General features: G+C 34.1%; 1 protein-coding gene across 20 annotated transcripts in view; it reads left to right on the top strand.

The window, feature by feature from the left end:
* OSBPL8 (oxysterol binding protein like 8) overlaps positions 1–24,612 on the top strand; it is a 207,975-nt gene that overhangs the window by 123,509 nt on the left and 59,854 nt on the right. Inside the window, exon 1 of one of the 20 annotated variants that reach the window (NM_001319655.2) lies at positions 12,978–13,752. The exons of the other annotated variants lie outside the window; for them this stretch is intronic. Coding sequence (NP_001306584.1) covers positions 13,611–13,752 — 142 coding nt within the window. The 5' untranslated portion in view covers positions 12,978–13,610. Of the gene's footprint in view, positions 1–12,977; positions 13,753–24,612 lie in introns of those variants that run through there. 20 annotated transcript variants of the gene reach the window in all.

The following is a 24,612-nucleotide window of genomic DNA, read 5'->3' as shown; positions in this document are numbered from 1 at the left end:
TCAGGAAATTTTTGGAGTGTGGCAGCCAGTAATCCAAATACAAAGCCCATAAGGTTGGATAGAGTCTCTGGTGGGTAAGTAAAAAGATGCAAGCATTGGCACCAATATATAAACATCAGCTAGGAAAGGGAGTGGAGACACCAGTATTCAGGCTTGCCGTTCTAGAATAAGCAATATTCTCTCAATATTCTCTCATAGCTTGGTTTTCATGCTTAGAGAGAATGGCTGCAAGACTCCAGTTACCTTTGGAGCATTTGAATATGTATGGTGGGGAGTAAGATTTTCTTTATGTTTTGAGAGCTTAGTTATAGAGAAGAAATAGTGCCTGGAAAGAGTAGTAGGCCCTTTCTAATATGATATTTGCATAGATTTCTAGTGGCAGAATTCTTTAAACAATTGATGTTTTGAAAGTTTTGGGTTGAGTCCCTGATTTGCAAACTGCCCTTATATGTAAAGGAAGACCCACTAGGGTGATTTAGGTTCTATAGACTCTCCTTTCTTTACCATCATTGTGATGTCACTCATTTTTTTCCCTTCCCACCACAAATCGTATTGTTGCCTGGAACGATCTTTTTATTTTTTAGCTTTATTGGCATGTAATTGACAAATATCAATAATATATATTTCTTGTACAACTTGGTGTTTTGTGAAATTATCACCACAATCAAGCTACTTAACATTTCTATCACCTCACCATTACCATTTTTTGGCATGTGTTGTGAGATCAGTTAACATCTCCCCTCTAAGCAAATTTCAAGTATTTAATACAGTATTAACTATGCATATATTAGATCCCCAGAACTTATTCATACTGCATATCTGAAACTTGTACCCTTTGACTAATATCTCCCCATTTCCTCCACTCCCCAACCTCTAGCAACCACTATTCTAATTCTGTGCATCTATGAGTTCAACTATTTTAAATTCTACATATAAGAGAGATCATGCAGTATTTGTCTTTCCATGTCTGGCTTATTTCACTTAGCATAATGTCCTCCAGCATTGTCTGTGTTGTCACAAATGGCAAGATTTCCTTCTTTTTCAAAGCTGAATAATATTCTATTTATGTATATATGCACACACACACACACACACACACACACACACGTAGATATATACACAAACACCTCAGTTTATCCATTCTCTGCAGTGGACATTTAGGTTGTTTCCATATCTTCGCTATTGTGAGTAATGCTATAGTGAGCATGGGAGTACAGATATCTCCTTGAGATACAGGTTTCATTTCCTTTGGATATATACTCTGAAGTGGTGTTGTTGGATCATACAGTAATTCTATTTTGAATCTTTTGAATAACCTTCATACTGCTTTCCATAATAGATGTACCAATTTATTTTCTGTGTACAAAGAGTCCCTTTTTCCCTGCATCCTAGTGAAAAGTTAACTTACGTTTTATTGATAATGGCCATTCTGGCAGGTATGAAGTGATACCTCATTGAGGTTTTGACTTGTGTTTCCCTGATGATTAGTGATGTTGAACATTTTTTATATACCTGATGGCCATTTGTATATCTTCTTTTGAGAAATGCCTGTTCAGGTCTCTTGCTCACTTTTTAATTAGGTTATTTTGTTTGTTTTCATTTTTTAAATTTTTGTTATTGAGTTGAGTTTTTAATATATTTTGTATATTAGCCCCATATTAGATACATGGTTTGTAAATATTTTCTTCTATTCTTTCAGTTGCCATTTCACTATGTTGATTGTTTCCTTTGCTGTGCAGAATCTTTCTAGATTGATATAGTCTTACCTATTTTTGCTTTTGTTGCCTTGGCTTTTGGTGTCATATCCCAAAAGTCATTGCCCTGACCAATGTCAAGAAGCTTTTTTTCCCTTTTCCTTCTGGTAGTTTTATGGTTTGAGCTCTTACATTTAAGTCTTTAATTCATTTTGAGTTGATTTCTGCATATGGTGTGAGATAAGGGACAAATTTCTTTCTTCTGCATGTGGGTATCCAGTTTGTCCACCACCATTTATTGAAGAGAATATCTTTTCCTCATTGTATGTTCTTGGCACACTGGTTGAAGATCAGTTGACCATAATGTGTGGGCTTATTTCTGGGCTCTCTATTCTGTTCCATTGGTCGATATGTCTGTCTGTATGCCAATGCTATACCATTTTGATTACTGTTGTTTTGTAATATATTTTGAAATAAGCAAATGTGATACCTCCAGCTTTGTTCTTTCTTCTTCTTGATCAAGATTTCTTTAGCTATTCTGGGTCTTTGTGATTTCATATGAGTTTTAGGATTTTTTTTTTTTTTTTTTTTTTTGAGATGGAGTCTCACTCTGTTGCCCAAGCTGGAGTGCAGTGGCATGATCTTGGCTCACTGCAACCTCCGCCTCCTGGGTTCAAGCAATTATCCTGTGTCAGCCTCCTGAGTAGCTGGATTACAGGTGCATGTCACTATGCCTGGCTAATTTTTTTTGTATTTTTAGTAGAGATGGCATTTCACGATGTTGGTCAGGCTAGTCTTGAACTCCTGACCTCATGATCCACCTGCCTTGGCCTCCCAAAGTGCTGGGATTACAGGTGTGAGCCACCACACCCAGCCTTTTTTGGTAATTTTTTAAGGAATGGCATTGGGATTTTGATAGTGATGGCTTTGAATCTGTGGATCTTTTGGATAGGATGGACATTTTAACAATATTAATTCTTCTGATCCACAAAAATGGGATGTCTTTCCATTTATCTGTGTCTTCTTTCATTTCCTTCATCACTATTAATTTTCAGTGTATAAATCTTTCACCTCTTTTTGTTTATTTCTAAGTATTCTTTTTTTTTGCTATTGTAACTGGGATTGTTTTTATAATTTCCTTTTTGAGTAGCTCATTATGTATAGAAACACCACTAATTTTTGTATCCTGCAACTTTACTGAATTTGTTTATTAGTTTTAAAACTTTTTTGTGGAACCTGTAGGGTTTTCTACGTGTATGATTATGTCATCTGCAAACAGGGAGAGTTTTATTTTTTCCTTTCCTGTTGGACACCTTTTATTTCTTTTTCTTTCTAATTCTTCTGGCTAGGACTTCCAATGCTAGGTTGAATGGAAGTGGTGAGAGTGGGCATCCTTGCCTTGTTCTGGATCTTAGAGAAAGTGTTTTTGGCTTTTCTCTATTGCTTATTATGTTAGCAGTGGGCATTTCATATGTGGTCTTTATTGTGTTTACATAAGTTTCTTCTATACCTATTTTGTTGAGAGTTTTTGTTATGAATAGATGTTGAATTTTTTCAGATGCTTTTTCCACATTTACTAAAGTGATCATGTGGTTTTATCTTTCATCCCATTGATTGATTTGTATATGTTGAACCATCCTTGCATGCCATTTGACCATAGTGTATGATTCTTTCAGTGTGCTGTTGAATTCTGTTTGCCAATATTTTATTAAGTATACATCATGTGTATAGTTGTTCATAGTTGTAATATCTATTTTTTCTGATTTTATGTGAATCTTCTTTTTTCTTAGTCTAGCTAAGAGTTTGTTGATTTTATCTTTTCAAAAAACTCCTTTTTGTATTGTTTTTCTATTCTCCCTTTTATTTATTTCTGCTCTAATTTTTATTCTTTCCTTCTGCTAATTTTGGGCTTAGTTTGTTGTTCTTTTTCTAGTTACTTGAAGTATAATGGTAGGTTATTTGAGTTTTCTTTCTTTTTCTTATTTTTTAAGACAAAGTCTCATTCTGTTGCCCAGGCTGGAATGCAGTGGCATGATCATGTCTCACTGCTTCTTTAAACTCCTGGGATCAAGCACTCTTTCTGTTTCAACGTCCCAGGTAGCTGAGACTACAGGCATGTGCCACCACACCCGGCTAATTTTTAAAATTTTTTGTAGACACACGGTCCCGCTGGGTTGCCCTGGCTGATTTTGAACTCCTGAGCTCAAGCAATTCTCCTGCCTCCCAAAGTGCTGGGATTATAGTCATAAGCCACTGTACCCAGCCAGTGTATTCCTTTTTAAATGTAGGCATTATCACCATGAACTTCTCTTTTTGTACTGCTCTTGCTACATTCCACAAATTTTAGTAATTTCTGTTTTTTGTTTGTCTTGTTTTTAAAATTTCTCTTTTAATTCCTTTTTGACCTAATGATTGTTCAAGTGTGTTTAGTTTTTATCTATTTGTGATTTTTCTGTTTTCTTACTGTTATCGATTACTTAACAGTAAGTAGTTGATACTTTTACTTGATTACTTACTGTTTCGTTCCTTTGTGATAAAGATACTTGATATTATTTTGATCTTTTAAATTTTTTAAGACTTTTTTGGTTACCTAACATAGGATCTATCCTGAAGAGTGCTTCATTTTCACTTGAGAAGAACATGTATTCTTCTGCTGTTGGGGAAATTCTGTGTGTCTGTTGGGTCCATTTGGTCTGTAATGTTGTTCATTTCTTTTCATTTTCTGTTTGGTTGATCTATCCACTAAAAAAAAGTGGAGTATTGAATTGCTATTATCATATTGCTGTCTATTTCTTTCTTCATATCTCTCCATGTTTGCTTTATATATTTAGGTGCATTGAAGTTGGGTGCATATATATGTGTAGTTGTTCTGTCTTCCTATTGAATTAGCCATTTTATTGTAATGGCCTTTGTCTCTTGTGACAGTTTTTGACTTATAGTCCATTTTTCCTGATACATGTATAGCCACTTCTACTCTTTGCATAGAATATCTTTCTCCACCACTGCCCTTTCAGAAAGCTCAGGCATATTTTAAAATCTAAATTGATTTTCTTGTAAACAGCATATAGTTGAGTCTTGTTTTTAATTCATTCAGTGACTCTATTTCTTTTGATTAGGAATTTTAGTCCATTTAACTTTAAAATAATTATTGATAAGTAAGAACTTATTCTTGCCATATTGTTCATTGATTTCTGTGTGTTTTGTAGTTCTCTTCTTCCTTTCTCTCATTTTCTTTCTTTGTGGGTTTTTTTTGTTTTTTGTGTGTTTTTTTTTCTTTTTTTGGCAGTGGTGTGCTTTCCTTTCTCTTTAGCTTTTTAATCTATTGTGCATTTTTTGTGGGTGATTATTGTGGTATTCACATAAAACATTTTATAGTTATAGCAGTCTATTTTAAGCTAATAACAAACTTCAGCTATCTTTAGATACTCCACATTTTACCTCCCCCCACCTCATACTTATGTAATTGATGTCACATTTTACTTTCTGTATTGTGTTCCTATCAATAAGTTTGTCTTTATAGTTATTCTACTTCTGTCTTCTAAATTATTTACTAGTAATAAAAGTGATTTATTTACTACCATTACAGAATTATAATGTTCTGTGTTTGTCTTTATGTTTATCTTTAGCATTCAGATTTATACTTTCATATGCTTTTATGTTGTTGTTTAGCATCTTCTCATTCTAACTTGAAGAACTCTGGCACTTATTGTAAGGCAGGTCTAGTGGGGATGAGCTCCCCTCATTTTTTGTTTGTCTAGGAAAGTCTTTACCTTTCATTCTTAAAGGACAGTTTCACGTTTTAAAGTGTTCTTGGCTGGCAACATTTTCTTTCAGTACATTGAATATATCATTCTACTGTCTTCTGGCCTGCAAGGTTTCCATTGAAAAATGTTGTAGATAGTCTTACAGTGTTTTCCTGATTTTGTTAGATTTTCTATCTGTATTCTCTTGTAGCTCATTCAGCTTCTTTAAGAAAATCATTTTGAATTATTTGTGAAGCAGTTCATGATGTTTATTTAGAATTGGTTACAGAGCTTTATTTGCCTCTTTTGGTGATGTCCTGTTTTTCTGATTCTTTGTGATTCATGTAGACTGATGTTAGTGTCTGCATTTGAAGGAGCAAATACCTCCTCCAGTCCTTAGAGACTGAATTCAACAGATAAAGACCTCCTTTTGCCATTTTTCTGGACCCATGGTACTACCTCTGACATTGTGATTGAGTGGGAGTGGAGCTGGTTCTGTCGGATCTGCTATTGGTGAGCCTGTTACCTGGGGCATTGGTGGATGTGGTTCCTGCCTGGTTCTTGGTCAAGCAAGCCTATCTCTGAACTGCAGTTCAGCAGGGGTGAAATCATGATATAGGGCCACATTCAGAAGGGCCTCAGTCAATTCTGTAGATGGTAGGTCCATTAAGAAGAATGTGGTTGGGTGTATTACCACTGTGTTCCCCAGAGAGGTCACTCAGCGGACAGGATTGTCTTTGAGGTCTAGAGTGGGGCTGGAGCTGGGTCATGGCTGTTTGAGGAGCTGTAGTTGTGTTGGAAGTCAGCAGGCCTGTTACCAGGGGTGCTAGTGGGCATGGTTTCTACCAAGTGAGTTTCTGAGCAGGCACGACTCCTTCTAGACCATGAATCAGTAAGGCTACAGCCAGGTCACAGCTGGTACCATCTTTTTTTTTTTTAAAACCCTTGTCTGTGAGTCTCACCTTACAAAAAAATGCTTGATACTGGCATTTGTGTTGGCTGACTTAGGGAAAGGAGAGAGACAGTAAGCATTATTCCCATGGCTGAATTCTAATCTTGTCTCTGTCGCTCATTTGCTGTGTGACCTTGAATATGTGCCTCTCATCCAGATTACCTTATACATAAAACAAGAATACTCCTTTTATATGTCACATTGTTGTTTGAATTTATTGAGAACATACACAAAAACACTCATGAAAATTATAAAATTATTTAATTATGAGGTAGTATTGTGATGGTTACATGGATAAGTACTATTAGTTTAGTACATTTTTAGTTAAATAGATTTTTGTGAATAGTCTATTCACAAACCTGTGAATAGATTGTTGTTATATGAAACCTAAGCATTTCGTATAACATTTAATACTTTGTGGGAATAATGTCTCTGTGTTTCAGTCAACATATAATGAACATGTACTCATTCATATTGAAAGCTCAGTAAGAGCGGAAACTAAGGTGCCTAACATAGCTGTGCCTAACATAGTTCCCAACACATAGTAGGTGCTCACTAAATTTTTATTGGATGATTTTAATTATATATATGAAATTATAAAGAACTTTTTATCCAGAGGAAAGTACGGTCGTATACTTCTTGCAATGAATATATGTACATGGATAAGAATGCTGTCTAATCTAAAATTGTTTTAAGCTATCCTTTTATTTTTGTATGTGTATTTACATGTGCTTTCATGTTGAGACATATTTAATGCTGATAATGGAGAATCTACAGCAATGTTTTCTGAGGAAATGTACGATAATAAGATTGCTTGGTATAATTTGCAGCCATGTAATTATTAGTAAGATTAGTAAGATTTTGCTAACTACAGCTAAGAAACTACTTTGCTCTATTAGAGGATAGAAATTGACAGAGAGGCTTATCATTGTGTTTTCTATTTTAAAGCAAAGTTCATTATCTCCCATCTTGATTTATCTGCTCCCATTTTGGTTTATGTGCTGCATCTTGATTTATAGATAATTTTAATGTTATGAATAGACTTGTTTACTAAGCCTGAGCTGCTCTAATGTGTCAACTATATTCTTATTTGATTCACATGTTCTATAAGGAAACTTACTGCTGAATTTGTATACTACAGTCTTCAGATACTCATTTCATAGAGTAGTGGTTCTCTATGTGTCTGGACGTAGTACTTTCTTAAATTCGTGTTGGTTGATTTTTGTTCTTAATGTTTTGATCTTTCTCGAACTCATCCTGCTGCTTTAAGGATTTTAAAATCTCTTAAAGCCTAGGTTTATTATCTTGAGATTCAAGATAAAATGTGTAACTCTTACAGTGCTTTCATCCTAATGTAATTCAATGTTTTTTTATCATGAGTGTGCACATAGAATTTTATAGAATTGAAAGGGGTTTTTCCAAATACTAATTAGGTTATTTCAGAATATCTGCTATGTTTGCCATTCATTTTTTTTTTCTTAAATAGAGATGGTCTGGAATTTGTCCAGACAACTCATTAAAATTCTAATTTTCCAATGAGCTATCTTCCCCAGTCTGAATCTTTTATCTCAATAGAAAGAAATGTAGGCTGGGCATTTTCTCTGGGCATTTAGCAGATTTCAGAGACTCTTATGACCTTTTATGGTATTTGCCTCTGTTTGTCTACCATTTTCAAATGGAAAGAGCCACTAGACCATATATGATATATGTAGTTGGTCTCTTCAGTGGCAAGGTGGCAATAACATTTTATAATTATTTATTTTTTAATGTTAAGGAATTTCAGAAGAAAGATACCATTTACATCAGTGTTTTCTAATTTGGACCATGGTCTCTTGTAAGAAATACATTTTATATCACTACCCAAAACATAGTAAATAATTATGTAAAAGCCTAAAACAACATGAAACAACTTGCCTTTTAATGTCAGAGTAGGATGCACTTTGATATTTTCTATCCTGACCTATTTAATTTTTAGAAGCACTGTTTGTGACCCACCAAACTGATTTTTCAACTTAACAATGTGTGGTGACTTGTATCCTGAAAAACACTTTTAAATAAGTATATGTTTATCCATAGACCAGAATCTGTTTCTAACATAAATACCTCACATAACTTAAAACTATCATGATGATCTTGCAATGTTGATGCTCTTTTGTCCTTAGTATTACTTTAAAATTACAAAAATCTGTAGTGATTATAAGTAATTCTGAAATTAAATTGAAATCACAAAGGTATATATAATGTTTTAAAAATACATCTTTAGCTTTTTAGAATAATCTAGATTTTGATTTTGAAGGAACAGTTGCCATTAAAATTTTTAGTAGTTTTTTTTTAATTATTGAAGAAAAGAGTATTTGTGTTTCCCTTGTGAAATTAGTCTATAGCAGTTACATCTTGTCTTCAGATTATTGTAATATAGTGGTTTTCTTTTAATTATAGATGTGAAATGTAATGTTATTATTTTATTACTACTTTACATTTATGTAACATAAATGATCAAATTGATCAAAACAATACACATATACACATATGTGCGAGTATACATATATAATTTCATCCTCATAAGTCTATGATGTATAGGCAAGGTAGGTTGTAGAGAATAATTGAACAGATTTAGGATCCAGAAATATTCTATCATATAATGTTGTTTCCACTGCTTCTCTTGAAATAATACTTTTTTAGTTTGCCAAGTAGTTTCTCAGGCATTTTGAGCTTACCAAGTATTTTAAAACCTTTAACGTAAAGAATGTTAATGGAAGCTTTATGAAGTTGGTGTAACTATGGTACATCTTTGGCTAAACCACATTTATTTTACCACCATTCAGATGAAGTAGGAAAGATGGCCTTCTTATTTGAATTTCTAAATAATTAAACACCGGTGATTACATCTTGTGGGAGAAGGAGTGCAGATGACTGGTTTGAGTTAGGATTACTCAAAGAGTAGAAGGAAGGATAAAGTGGTAACAGGTGGCTAACAGGGAAGGGAAAATAAATCCTGCTATTATGGTATTTAGTAATATTTTGTTTTTCTTATCTGCCTTTTCTGAACTGTTGAATTAAGATCCTGGACATAATAATAGCTTACAATGAAATGTTTTCTATGTATCCAGCAACAATCTGAGAACTTTGTTTTAAGAAAAAAACATTTACATGTATATGTACTGTGAAATGTTTCATGCAGTCTGAAGAGTACATAAAATGCATTTACAGTTAATATAATAATAAAACCAATACTTACGTACCCAGCATACCAGGTTTAGAAGAAATCATTGCTAGTACTTTAGAAGTTCTTATATGTATCTCCTGATCCTTATCTCTTCCCCTTTACATGCCTTCTACGTGCTCCAGGTAACCAGAATCCTCACTTTTTTGTGCCTTTTCTTTTTTTCTGGTAATGTTACCATCATGTATGCATATCTAGACAATTTATGGTTATTTCTTTAAACACTGTTGAGAGTGTGTTTGAAGAAAAACTTCAGACAAATTAAATTTAACAGAGTGTATTTGAGTGAGAACGATTCATGGATTGGGCAACACTCAAAACCAGAAGAGGTCCAGAGAGCACCACTCTGAAACATAAGCAGTGAATATTTATAGACAGAACTCAGAAATACAGAAGTAGCATGATTGGCTACAGCTGGGCTTCTGCCTTATTTGAACATGATCTGATTAGTTTGTTGCCTGTGATTGTCTGAAGCTCAGCTGCTGTGATTGGCTGAGATCAGCCTATTTGTTACAAATATTAGACTCCTAAGTTAGATTTCTGTTCATTTACATACCAAAGTTAGCTTGCAGTTCATTATTAGGAACTAAAAATACAGAGACAGCCTCAGGCCATTGGCCTCCTGCTTATTTAACAGTAGCAAGCCCAAACCTAGTTGGGTAAGGAAAGGGCAACATTGCTGGAAGATAAACTGAGCAAGAGTCTCTGAGCCAGAGTTTGGTTATGATTTCTTTGAGAGTTTAACAACTGAAGAAAGCATTCGGCAAGATAATTAGTGGGTCTTGGGAAACACAAGATTCATTATTGCTTGTGGTTTAATTACTGGATACCTGGCAGGAATATGACCAGGAGAGGTATATTCTGCTTTTTTAGTTCACCATGTTCAACCAGGATTAGGTAAAAAGTAGAATGCTTCATTGTTTTGGAAGTATTCTCAGCTGATCCAAACATCAGCTTGAAGGAACAGAGAAGAAGTTTTATCAGCATACAGTCAGACAGACAAGCCAGTGTCAACAAAGAACTTGGGCAAAGCTCACCCAAGCAGTTTGCCCATGTGTCAAAAAAGATGGTGCAGTGGCAGGGGGACTTTTTGGTAATGACACCTCTTTTATATTGGATGTCCTGTTTCTGTACCCCATGCATTCTTGATTTATCACATTTTGGTACAGTTTTATCTTCCAGTACAGCCTTTCTTAACTGGAGTCTCATGACAGAAGTAAGTCCTATAGGAATATTTTCTCTGTTTCTCAAAGATATAGTGCATTGTTGGAAATATTATAGATGCATGGGAGATAAATTTAATTCATCTTGAACAGTGGATGCCTTAGTACATTAGGCTTAATTCTATTGCAGAACCCCAGCTGAGAAGGGCTACTGTAGTAAATTATTTTAAATGGTACATAGAAAATAAAATTTTGAGACCTTGCATGTCTAAAGATATCTTTATTTTACTCTAATATGTAATTGATAGTTTGGCTGGGTATGGAATTCTAAATTGAAACTTGTTTTCTTTCATATTTTGAAGATTTTGGTTATTTTTTGGCCTGCTTCCAGTATTGTTGTTGACGTAAATAGCCTATCTGATTCATGATCCAGAGGAACTTGGTGCTGTGAATTATGTGCAAAAGGGTTATTTGGTGTAAATAAGGTTGACTTTCAGTTTTTATTACTGCTGTTGTGATTTGGCTTTCTTGGATCTGCAAGACCATGACTACTTGTTCATCTCGAGCTTTGCAGTGTCAAATTTATGTTGTTAATATATCCTCTCCTGGATATGTACTTTTGGGATATATATAGATATTTGTTTATTTTTTTAAAATACCCCTTTTCTTGATTTTACTTGAGTTTTAGGAGGGAACGCATTTGTTCAGTATCTTCATTTTGCCATTTTAACCTAGACTCTTTTAAGACTTTGTGTATCATCTGATTTAATCCTCATAACAATCCTATAATATCAGTACTACTATTAGCATTGTATACGTGAGAAAACAAAGACTCAGAGAAATTAAACTGTTTAAGTATTTCTAGGAAAGATAAAACAGAGATTTGAATGCAGTTTAATTTCAAATCCTGCTTAACTATTATACTAGCATAATGCTGTTTGTGATGTTCTTTATGCCTTTAAAGGCAAGCACCATTACATGAATTATAATTATTTGTTGTCTACAGTTAATAATAATGTACATTTTATGATATGGAGAAAAGCAAAAAATAATAATAACCAAACCAACCCCTAAAACCCACAAACTTGTTGCAGTTATGGGTATTAGTGGTAAACTTATTCTCCATTAATTGATTTTGAAATGCCTTTGCCCAAGAAAGAATATGTCACATACAAGAAATTGAGTTTTGCCTGGTGCGGTGGCTCACACCTACAATCCTAGCACTTTGGGATACCAAGGTGGGTGGATCACCTGAGGTCAGGAGTTTGAGACCAGTCTGCCCAACATGGCGAAACCCCATCTCTACTAAAAATACAAAAATTAGCCAGGCATGGTGGCAGGTGCCTGTAGTTCCAGCTACTTGGGAGGCTGAGGCAGGAGAATCACTTGAACCCGAGAGGTAGAGGTGGCAGCGAGCTGAGATTTTGCCACTGCACTCTAGCCTGGGCGACAGTGAGACTCCATCTCAAAAAAAACCCAAAAAACAAAAAAGAAATTGAGTTTTGCTTTTTCATGTGTTCTTTCTAGTAAGGACAAAGTCTTAGATTATATGAGATGTTGTGCATGAATAGAGAACCAGCGTTGAAGTGAATGCATAATAAGGAAGGATACTGAGATCTTATGGTAAGATACCTATAAAAATGAGCCACTAATAAATTTTAACCTAGATGGTTATTGTCCAGCTGAGTGGGTGTATTTTCAGATTGAAAGAAAGAATTATAACCAAAAAAATCAATCTACGGCATATATAGAGAGCATCTGACTAGAGCTTTTAAATCTGAATTAAGGTAGGGTAAGGTATATGGATTTTAGTATAATTGGGAGAGAATTCTTTGGAATTTTAAAGATTAGGTATAAACAGATGGTACCTGTTAGATTTAATGACGTGGAGTCAATACTGGTCACTTAGTTTTAAACATAGTACATTTGTCACTGTGATAATAAAGTTGCTTTTAAAAAAAATTTTTTTTAAGCAGGAAAGACTCATTGATAGACTGAACAGTTTAGATGTAATGAAACTGTTCAAATTAAATTTTGAACAGTTTAAATGTAATTAAGAGGAACAGTAGCAGCTCATATTTTCTTCAAGGAACATGTTAGAGCATACAGCATTATGGTGTCGTTTTAATCTCCTCTGTTGATTGGTTTGCGCTAACACTGTCTTAATGACTCATATATCCCTGCTGGAGGCAAAACTTAAATGTTTATTCTCTGCTTTAACTGTTGGAATCCATCAACGTTGTGCTTGAAAGAGTATCTTTCCTTATGAATGTTTAATCATGGCTGAGGCAAGCTGTAGATTAGATATAAATCTAGAAGCTTCAGGGAAGATAAAAAGCATTATGTTTATATCCATCTTTGAAGTAAGTAAAAGCTGGGAAGGAAGGAGTCGGAAGAGGTGGGAAGTGTGGCCGGATAGTACAGAAACATAATGGATATGATAAAAGGATTGCATTTCTGAGAAGAGAAAATGACTTTATTGCTTCATCTTGAATTGCTAAGTATTGATCTTGTTTTGTTTTCCTAAAGCAGCAATTCAGTGCAGGGTGGTTTGATAAAAAGGTAAAACATTAGTAGAATAGCCTTTCATGTTTATCAGTTCCTTTTTTTAAAAAATCAGCAGCATGGTTTAATGCTTTTTCTGTCAGGCTTTCTCTATCTGTTTATTGCTGATTTGACAGTCTTTGGTCCTTCTCCTTTGCTGTTAAATGTGTGTGTTCTTTGTTTGTGCTGGTGGGTTTTGCTACAGTTGGATGTGAGAGAAAAGCCTGTCTTTGCCATATTGGTCTAATTAGCCTTTGGGTGAGCATATACATTAAATAGACCTTCTGAGCTATGAAAGAAGAGAGCTCACAACGTAGATTTTCTTCCTGTACTGGGGTTTTGCCTGTTTTATTTCCTCCCCGGATTGATGGCCGAAAGCTTGTTCGGAATGCTTCATTTGGAGGATACAATGAACTTTCTCCTTCATTGCCAGGTTTGTGTGTTTAATCTTGCATTCCTAATTTCTTGCAGACTTTTAATTAAAATAAACCAGGCATTTTAACATTTTAAAGCCGCTTTCATTTAAATAAAACAATTCTGTAGTGAAAGCTTAGGTTTCAGTAACTGCTGCTAAACAGCTTGGCTTTTCCATATTTTCTCTTAGAGCCTCTTCAGTTAAAACTTCAGAAGTAATGATTCAGTAAAGTAGGAATCTTGAGTGCTTACGGCATAAATTTTTGCTTTAATTATAGAAATATTATGACCCTTTGATAAAATTAAAGCCCTTCTAGACTTGAGATAAACACAAAATTATATAAATAAACACATTGCTCTGAGGGTTTACCAAATGAAACCCAGATATTAATATTGATATTTGTTCATTTTTTGCAGAATGGTAACTATATTAAAGTTGATGTTTAATGTAAGCTTTAATCTTACCACTTTATTATCTTAATCTTTTTATCTTAAATTCTTAAATTTATCTTAAATTCTGACTAAAGTGAAGCTTTCTACTCAAGTATAGTTTTTGAAATACCTTAGCTTCCTCTTGTTGTTAGATGTATTTGTGTGTGATTAATTTTTATCATGAAAATTTATGATATTTTTAGGGTTATATTTATTAGGCATTTGACAGCTATGATTTAGGCATTAAACAATTGGTCAATGAGATGTAGACATAAATTGATCTTTTATTGTTTGAAATTGTAGCAAATATTTGAATATGTTTAAATAATCTTTTCCTTTCAGATTTTTAAACACTATATAATTATGTCTACTCTTTTAGGGTTATATTTTCTTTTAAAATAAAAGTACTATTTAATAATGATGGCAAAGAAATATTGACTGAAACTGATACTTGTATTTATATATTTTTTCTGACACTTAGATTTTGTTGAATTAAATTCCCTATTTTCACAATAACCTTTATTCTTGGCTTTCTGAATATTCATGTTGATAAGTGGTATATGTGTTCTTCTGAGATAGTGAAACGCCTCATAGAAAGTGTTCACCTGGGCAATTAAATAAATTATAAATTGACTGATTTCATTCTTTTCTAACAGTGTTTCACAAAAGAATTGGAAACCATAGTCCTGAACTCTCCCTAAGTAGTATAAGCTTTAAATAGCACTCAATCCATATTAAGTCTTCTTAGTGTAGCATGGTTGCTCTCATGCGTCTTTCTTATGTTTTAAATGGTGTAAATTTTAGTCGTTTGTCATTCAGAAGTGGCTTTGCAAATACAAAATACTGAGATTTTTTTAATGTTAGATATTTTTTATTTTAAAATGAGTTTCATTTCTGTATTTGTTTCTGTCTCTTTGTTTGCATTTTTTAGGCCAACAAGCTTGCTAGTATATATTGTTTGCTGACCTTCATGCCACAAGTCCACTTAGCTTTACAGAATAATCATGTGACCTTGATGAACAATAGAAAACTTAGCTTTTAAGTTTGGTACTTATTTAATTAGGCAGTTAAAGGCAAAATTGTCAGTTTATCTTGTCAAAGAAATATTAAAAGCCATCTTGGATGGATTTGTTTCTATAGAAAAGTAAATGGTTTGCTTTGTTTTCTAATTCTTGAAATAGAGAAAATCATATTCATAGGAATGATTCCATCATCTCCTTAATACAACCAGCTGTGATAAAAAGCTCTATAAAATATCTGCTTTTATCAACTAAGAAGTAGAATGGAATTAAGTACTTCAAAGAAGTGGCTTTTTGTTGTGACTTAAGGTAAAAGTAAAAAGTACATCTAATATCTCCTGATATACTTCATTGTTGTATTGAAAAAATTATTTTAGATGCATTTGCTTTTATCTGACAAAACTAGAGAAGGAAAGATTTGTTCTTCATTAGTGATATTTAAAGATAACTTTTTCTTACTGCTTTGAGCATAACCCTTTTTTAATTTTAATTTTCCTGAAAAAAATATTTTTTTCTTTTAGCCACTTCTGCCTTAATAAATACGTCAGCATAACCTTTTTCTTTATGATTAGCTATAACATGGATGTGACACCCCTGCCCCTGTACCCATAGTGATGTCATGATGCAATGTGTTTGTTTTATTTAGTTCATATCTGATTATCTATCTCTTGATCTCAGCTGTTACTTTTAGGTATGCTTGTTTTACTAATCTCTAGAACAGTACGTACAAATTGGAGTAAATAAACTTTGAACAAAGAAAGCATCTATAGACATCTATAGATTGTACATTTTAGTACATAGTTGTTTTGTATATTTTGACTTCTCAGATTTTTTTCTTGGCTCTTGGCTGTATTCAATATAGTTAATGTAGCAATTCTGTATTTATTTTGTAGATACTTATAAAATCTTTATTTGTAGATTTGTTTATGTAATTTCATTTTAATAAGACTGACGCAACATAAAATTTGCTTTATTATATCACAGTATTAATGAACCAGGTATATCAAAAAGATAACGCCTTATCAGTGATGATAGTACTTGCATTTTGTGGACAAATTAGAGGTTAAGGGCAGAATGCTAATTTATTCAGCGATAATATTCCATTGCATTAGCAGGAAAAAGTAAACCTATGTACTTACACTAGAGATTGTCTAATGTAAAATTTACTGTAGATGGGAAACTGAAGTCTCTGGAATTTAAGGAACTTACCATGGTTATATAATTACTTGATGGAAGAGTTATTATATTCACTGGAATTATTATGAGTCTGTGACTACTTCCAAAACCAAAAGATTAGAAGAAAGATATGACAGACTTTTTTCAACCAGGTTTGAATGTCATTAGTTTTTGTTTTGGGGTTGAGCTTTAGGAAATTCTTTTTTATTTGCTTTGATGGCTAAAAACATTTCTGAAACTCATTACTATGTTTTTTTCTTTTTATATGAAGAGAATATTATAGCACTGTCTTGCTTCAGTCTTAAGTACTTTATCACTTTCAAGCCTTTCCCCATTGGAGAAACTGAACCATTGGAAGTTAAGTATTGTGCCCAATGTCATACAGCTAGTAAATGGTGGCGCCAGGGTTGATAGATAGTCTGACCCCATAGCTTATTCGCAGGTATCCCTCTGCCTTTATTATAAGCAGTTATTTTACTGTATTATAATTTTTGTTTGAATACCTGGCTTCTCTTTAGACAGTAGCCTTTTTAAAAGAAAGGAATGATAGGGAACAATGTCTTTTCATGTTTTTATCCCTAAATGCAATGTGTTATGTAACAGGTAGGTACACTATAAATATTTATACTATATATATGCACTTTGTTTTTGTTCTTGTTTTTGTTTTGAGATGGAGTCTCGCTCTGTCTCCCAGGCTGGAGTGCAGTGGTGTGATCTCGGCGCACTGCAGCCTCTGCCTCCTAGGTTCAAGGGATTCACCTGCTTCCACCTCCCAACTAGCTGAGACTACAGGCATGTATCACCACGCCCAGCTAATTTTTGTATTTTTAGTAGAGACAGGGTTTCACCATGTTAGCCAGGTTGGTCTCAAATTCCTGGCCTCAAGTGATCTGCCTGCCTCAGCCTCCCAAAGTTCTGGGATTATAGGCATGAGCCATCATGCCCAGCCTAATATTTATATTTATAAGAGGTGAATCCATTATTATTTCTTAATTGATTGAAAGGATTGCCATCTGTCAATCTAAATAGTAATCATTCTGAATATCTGCTTTTTTGTTTGTTTTTGTTTTGAGATGGAGTCTCACTCTGTCGCCCAGGCTGGAGCACAGAGGCACCATCTTGGCTCACAGCAACCTCCGCCTCCTGGGGTTCAAGTGATCCTCTCACCTCAGCCTCCCAAGTAGCTGGGATTACAGGCATGTGCTACCACACCCGGCTAATTTTTGTATTTTTAGTAGAGATGGGGGTTTCACCATGTTGGCCAGGCTGGTCTCGAACTCCTGACTTCAAGTGATCTGCCCACTTCAGCCTCCCGAAGCGCTGAGATTACAGGCATGAGCCACCTCATCTGACCTGAATATGTGCTGTTGTTATAGGTTCTATAACCTTAGAAAATGTGGAAGTCAGCCTGGATGTATGTTGCAGAGTGAAAATGGAGCAAGACTACCTGGTTTCTAATCCTCACTTAGCTACTTAATGACCATTTGGAAGGAATTTGGCTTCAATAAAGTACCCCAGAGATACTCTTATTACTTTATGTAAGTTAAACAAGAGACAGAATACTTTGGAGAAAGGCTGTTAAGAAAGTAGTGAAAATCGGCCTGGCACAGTGGCTCACACCTGTAATCCCAGCACATTGGGAAGCCGAGGTGGGCAGATCACCTGAAGTCGAGAGTTCAAGACCAGCCTGACCAACATGGAGAAACCCCATCTCTACTAAAAATACAAAATGAGCTGGACGTGGTGGTGTGTGCCTATAATCCCAGCTACTCGGGAGGCTAATTGCTTGAACCCGGGAGGCGGAGGTTGTGGTGAGCTGAGATTGTGCCATTGCACAGCAGCCTGGGCAATAAGAATGAAACTCCATCTCAAAAAAAAAAAAAAAAAAAAAAGGTAGTGAAAATCATATAATTTTCTGGAGAGAGGGTTTTCATTCCAGGTCTCTAATTATTATTACAAATAATTTTTTCAAAGTCAGCAATTAGTACACAAGTCAGAGATGGCCAGATACATAAGAAAATATGACATGAATGAGAAGTAACTGAAACAACAAACAGTAGAAAGAGGCTGGTAAGGCTTCTTGGATATTAGAGTGATCCGATACAAACTAATGTTTTTAAAGCTCTGTTTACGGTTTTTAAAAACATAAATGCAAACTTTCAAAATGGAATTATTTAAAATAGCCTGTAGATTTGTGAAATATTAGGATATAAATTTTAGAAATGAAATTAAACATAACCAAAATTTAAAACTCGGTGTACATACTAGTAGTACATTGGACATACAGATGAAGATAGAATTAGTGAAGAGGAAAGTAAGTCAGAAGAATTATTCAGGATACAGCAGGGAGGGAAAAGATGAAAAATAAAGAAGTTGAGGCATGCAGAATAAAAGGGAAAAAGCTGTCTTTTTTTGGTCATAAATAAAAGAAATAGACAAAATAGGATAAAAAGTCTTTAAGTATAATGGCTATAATTGAACTGATCAAAGATACTAACCACAAATTCTCAAGAAAACAAATTAAAAAGAAACTTAAACCTAAACACATCATAGTGAAACTACAGACCATCAAAGACAGAGGGTGAAAACACCCAGATTTCCTTCACAAGAATAACAACAGTTAAACTCACACCTGTTTGACTTCTTCACTGAAACAGTAGAAGCTACAGGTGTACTTCAGGCAAAAGGAGAGTGATTTCAGATGGAAAGTCTTAAGTTGTAAGGATAAACAAATAGCAAGGGCTATATGGGCAAATTTAATGCACACTGATTCTAAAGCCAATACAAATAATGTCTTTTGGAGTTAAGAAGAGAGAGAGATTTGCAATATATGACAGTTATTGTGTATAAGCTGGAAGGGAGGTAAATAAGTTCTTCCAAGGCCTTTGTATTTCCCAGAAGGAGAGTAAATTAATAATTAATTTTAAACTTTGAAAAGTTAAGTATACATATTTTAATTTCTGAGTGTAACCACTAAACACAATGATTAATTTATGTTTTTAAATCTTAACTAGTTTATAATAAATAGAAGACAAGATAGTAGAGGACAATAGAGTATGGGAGGAACAAATAGAAAGTCCAAAATAAGATAAATATAAATCTAGGTAAGTCAGCAATTATATTGAGTACTAATGATCTAAAGATTAGTATTAAAAATAATCCAGTACCTGCTGTTACAAGTGACATATCTACATATAAAAGAATAAAGAAAAGTTGGGGTAGGGAAGGACTAGGGATAAAAAGCAATGCAAACACTACTGAAAAGAAAGTTCCTGTATCTATTGATACCAGACAGAATAAATTTTGAGGCAAAAAGCATGAGTACATTATATGCCCTCAAAATATATAAGGAAATTTTATAGAGAACAACATGGAAACTAGATAAATCTGTACTTATATTCTTCTCTTTGTAATTGAGGGAGAAAAGGACAAAAATCAGTAAATACATATCAAAATAGAACTTCTCTACTAAGAAATGTGTGTTAATGGACAAATATAGAACTTTATACCCAACAACTATAGAATATACCTTCTTATCTAATACATATGGTATATTTATAAAAATTGCTCATATGCTGTGCCATAAAGTAAGTTTCAACAAATTTTAAATTATTAAAATTATTCAGAACATATTATCTGACCTTATTTTTTATGTTAGAAATCTATAACAAAAAGTTCAATAAAAATTCTGTTATGTTTAAAATTCAAAAATATATTTCTAAATGCCTCATGGATCAAAGAAGAAATCAAAATAGGAATTGGAAAAATAACTGACTTGAACAATTATGAAAGCATTACATATCGAAATTTGTGGAATATAGCTTTAAAATCGTGATTAAGAGGAAATGTTTAGCCTTAAGTGCATATTTTAGAAACAGAAGGGAGAAGAAAAATTAATGAGCTAAGTATCTTTCTTAAGTTCAAAAAATAAGAGCAAAATCTCCAAAAAGAAAAAAAGACTATAATAAATGTAAGACTAAGAATTAATGGAACAGAAAATACACACACTAGAGAGTTTCAGTAAAGCCTAAAATTCTTGGAAAAAGACTGATAGACAAACCTGTGGTATGATTTATTATGAAAAAGAGTGTTACTGCAAATCAGTAGACAAAAGGTGTTTTTTTAAAACCTTAACTCTGATACAATTAGCCAGTATCAAAAATAAAGAGATATAACTATAGTTGGAGCCATGTATTAAACATGTAAGAGAATATTGTGAACTTTTGTATGCTGATGTACTCAAAAGTTCAAATGAAATAAATTCTTAGTAAATATAGTTTACTGAAATTGTTCTTAAAAGAAACGGAATATCTGAATAGTCCTAATAACCATTAAGAAATTAAATCAGAGGCTGGGCATGGGCATGGTGGCTCATGCCAGTAATCTCAGGACTTTAGGAGGCCAAGGCGGGTGGATCACTTGAGGTCAGGAGTTCGAGACCGGCCTGGCCAACATGGTGAAACCCCGTCTTTACTAAAAATACAAAAATTAGCTGGGCCTGGTGGCATGCACCTGTAATCCCAGCTACTCAGGAGGCTGAGGCAGGAGAATCGCTTGAACCCGGGAGGCAGAGGTTGCAGTGAGCCGAGATCGTGCCACTGCACTCCAGCAGCCTGGGTGACAGAGCGAGACTCCATCTCAAAAAAAAAAAAGGAAAGAAAAAAAAAAGAAAAACAGAAATTAAACTAGAAAGCTCCGGATTCAGGTAGATACCGAGTTCTACCAACCGTTAAATGAAAGAATAATTCTAGTCTTGCACAACTGCTTTCAGAGGATGGAAGTGGAGAGTGAGAAGAACACTAGTATTAGTATAACTTTGACATGAAATTCAACTGAAAGAGATTGTCCTATAATTTTTCCAATCAGTAATGAATATGGATTACAACACTCCTTAATGGTAGTAGCAATATCTTTTTATAAAGAGGACAATGCGTTATGACTAAGTTGGATGAAAATCTAAGAAAGCAGGATTGACTTAACATTAGAAATAAATGTGGTTCACTACACTAACAGATTAAAAGCAGAAAAAATAATATGATTATCTTAATAGATGTGGGAAAAGTTTTGATGAAATCCAAATTTCGTTTTGTTAACTCTTAGAAAACTAGAAGGAGTGAACTTCCTTAAATATCTGTATCAGTACCTGTTCCAGCTGGACATGGTGGCTTATACCTGTAATTCCAGCACTTTGGGAGGTTGAGGTGGGAGGATTGCTTGAGCCCAGGATTTGAAGACCAGCCTGGGCAACATGATGAGACCTCATCTCAACAACAACAACAACAAAAAAGTCAGGCCTAGTGACATGTGTCTCTTGTCTCAGCTACTCAGGAGGCTGTGGTTGAAGGATTGCCTGTTACAGGAGGTCGAGGCTGCAGTGAGCTGAGATCACACCACTGCACTCCAGCCTAGGCAACAGAGCAAGACCCTGTCTCAAAAAAAAAAAAAAAAAAAACCAGAAAAATAAACCCTGTTCCTTAAATATATATATTAATATATGTACCAATATCAATATCTATATCCAAATATATATATAAATACACATATAAAAATATATCAAAAATCTACATTAAACATTGTACTTAATGGTTAAATATTGACAGTTTTGAGATTAGAAACAAGAATGCATTCACCATTTCTAGGCAATACTGTACTTTAAGTGCTAGATGAATAGAACAGATAGGGTGTGCAGAAACAGACCTACACATTTGTGAACATTTGACACATATGGATAAAAGAAGTTCTTTTCGATAAATGGTGGCAGGTCAGTTGGTGTCTAAATGCAAAGAAAGTGAAATTGTACCCGTATATCACACTGTACTCAAATGTCAATTCCAGGTGGATTGTAGATGTAGATGCAAAAAGTAAAACTACATTATTGGAAAATATTTTTATGACTGCAGATTTAGGGAAGAGTTTAAGACCCCAAAGCATTAACCTTTAAAGAAAGAGATTGCTAAATTTGACTACATGAAAATTAAAAGCTCTTCACCAAAAGAAACCACATAGCCTGTAAAAAGCCACAGAATAAGGAGATGTTGACAACAAATACATTTGGCAAAGGACTAGTATCTAGACTATATCAAGAATTCTTATATAATAAGAAAAGATAGACGATTTTTTTTTTAATGTACAAAAGGTCTGAAGACATTCTTCACAAAGAGGAAATTAGCCAATTAACATGAGAAAGTTCTCAACACCATTAGTAATCAGGGACACGCAAACTAAAACTTCACTGACAAACTACTGTGCATCCACCAGACTGCCAAAAATATTAAGAGTTTTTCAATACTGAAGTTACTACGGTTATGGAGAAAAGAGAACTTTTGCATAGTTTGGTATAAAGTTTAAGTTACACATGCTCTGTGACCCAGGATTCCTCCTTCTAGATTTAAACCTTAGAGAAACTTAGAGGTGTCTACCACGATACATTTCCAAGAATATTCATAGCACTATTGTTCAACAGGGGAAAATTAGGAACAATCCAAGTGTCTGATAATGGTGGAATGGATAAATAGTGGTATAGTCATGCAGTAGGGTTCTAATCAGCAGTGAAAACGAATGAAGTACCTGCTGTGACACGCTAGTAAATAATTATTGCACAAGTCGAATTACTTGTGAAGACAAAGGGTGGATTGTGATTAAGAATTGCACTGAGGAGGAATCTTATGAAATGTTAGCAATTCTCTATTTCTTGATTTGGGAGGTTGTTAAGTAAGTATTCTCTGTTATACATTTATGTTTTAGGCATTTTTCTGAAGATGTGCTGTATTTCACATTTTCTAAAACCTTTGGAAGTAAAAATGGAGTTCTTTCTATTAAATTTTTGATTAATTTATGAAATTTTTAAGTTTCAGAGAATATACAAAGATTAGACCCTTTTCAGGAACTCACGGTCAACATGAGCATAAAGATAATTGGAGTATACTGCAGTAAATACTGTAGTACAAGTATGTGTGAAGTGCTGTTTGTGTCATAGAAAGGAACAGCTAACTATGCCTGCAAAGTCAAAACAAGGCCTCCCTGAAGGGGTGGCCTTGCGTCTTGAGAGGCTCCATGGCATTGTAGAAACAGCATGAGTTTTAAATGTAGACCTAAGTTTAAATCAGCTCTGATAGTCACTTGTTGATGTTGGTCAACATAATTTCTGTGAGCTTTAGTTTTTTCAACTGTAAAATATGGTTAATTTTTTTGTGTGTGTGGCATTGTTTTAAAGATTAGAAAAAAATGAAACCTATAGCATAGTGTGTCACACTCGGGTTCTCACAAATAGGTATTGGTTGCTTTATTATTGCTTTTATTAATATTATTGTGTTAATTAGTATAAATATCATTATTGCTGATAAATGAATCAGAATTAGCCAGATACAGAACAAGTTAAAGGGATATAGACTAGGTGGCATAGGATGTCAAAGCAAGAGAAACGCAATAAAATGGAAGAGTAGGGAAAGGGTGTGTTTTAAAATTATTTTTATTGAGGTATAATTTACATGTAATTAAGTGTGCAGCTTTTGAATTTTTAGTTACGTATAGACACGTGTAATCACTTCCCATAGCAGAAGGCTCTCTCACACCCCTCCGAGTCAGTATTTCCTCCAAAAGGTAAACTACTGTTCCAACCTCTAACGCCATAGATTGTTTGTAAATAGAATCATATGGTACGTACTTTTTTTTAATGGGGAGAGTTGGCTTCTCACTCAATATTTGTTGTTCTTTTTTGTTGCTGTCTAATTTTCCACAGTGTGACCATACTATAATGAATTCATTAATTTTACTCTTAATAGCCATTTGAAGTGGTTCCAGATTTTGGCTATTATGAATAAAGCTTCTATGAACATTCTTGTGCCTCTCTTTTGATGGATGTACACACTCATTTCTGTTGGGTATATCTAGGATTAGAATTCCTCCGTGTAGAATGTACATTTAACTTTAATAGATACAGTCAAGTAGTTTTTCAAAGTTGTTATGCCACTCTATGTTCTCACCAGTAGTGAACAGAGTTTCAGTTGCTCTATGTTTTCACCTGTACCTGGATGGTGTTAGTCCTTTTAATTTTAGCCATTCTAATAGGGATGTAGGTTTCTGTCTCATTATAGGAGTGGGGAGGATACTTGGAAGAGACCACTACCCCAAATCACTAACTAGTTTCATTTAAAATTCCATGTTGCATTTATGAAAGTTTCATTTTTTTTACATTTTATTTTTAGTATTGAGATTGAGTGATCTTTTTTCTTACCAGAGAAGGAAAAAAGATC

This window comes from Homo sapiens, chromosome 12, assembly GCF_000001405.40.
Source record: "Homo sapiens chromosome 12, GRCh38.p14 Primary Assembly".
In the NCBI taxonomy this organism is placed as follows: domain Eukaryota; kingdom Metazoa; phylum Chordata; class Mammalia; order Primates; family Hominidae; genus Homo; species Homo sapiens.
The sequence above is the reverse complement of the archived record's forward strand: the minus strand, read 5'-3'. Positions and strand labels throughout refer to the sequence as shown.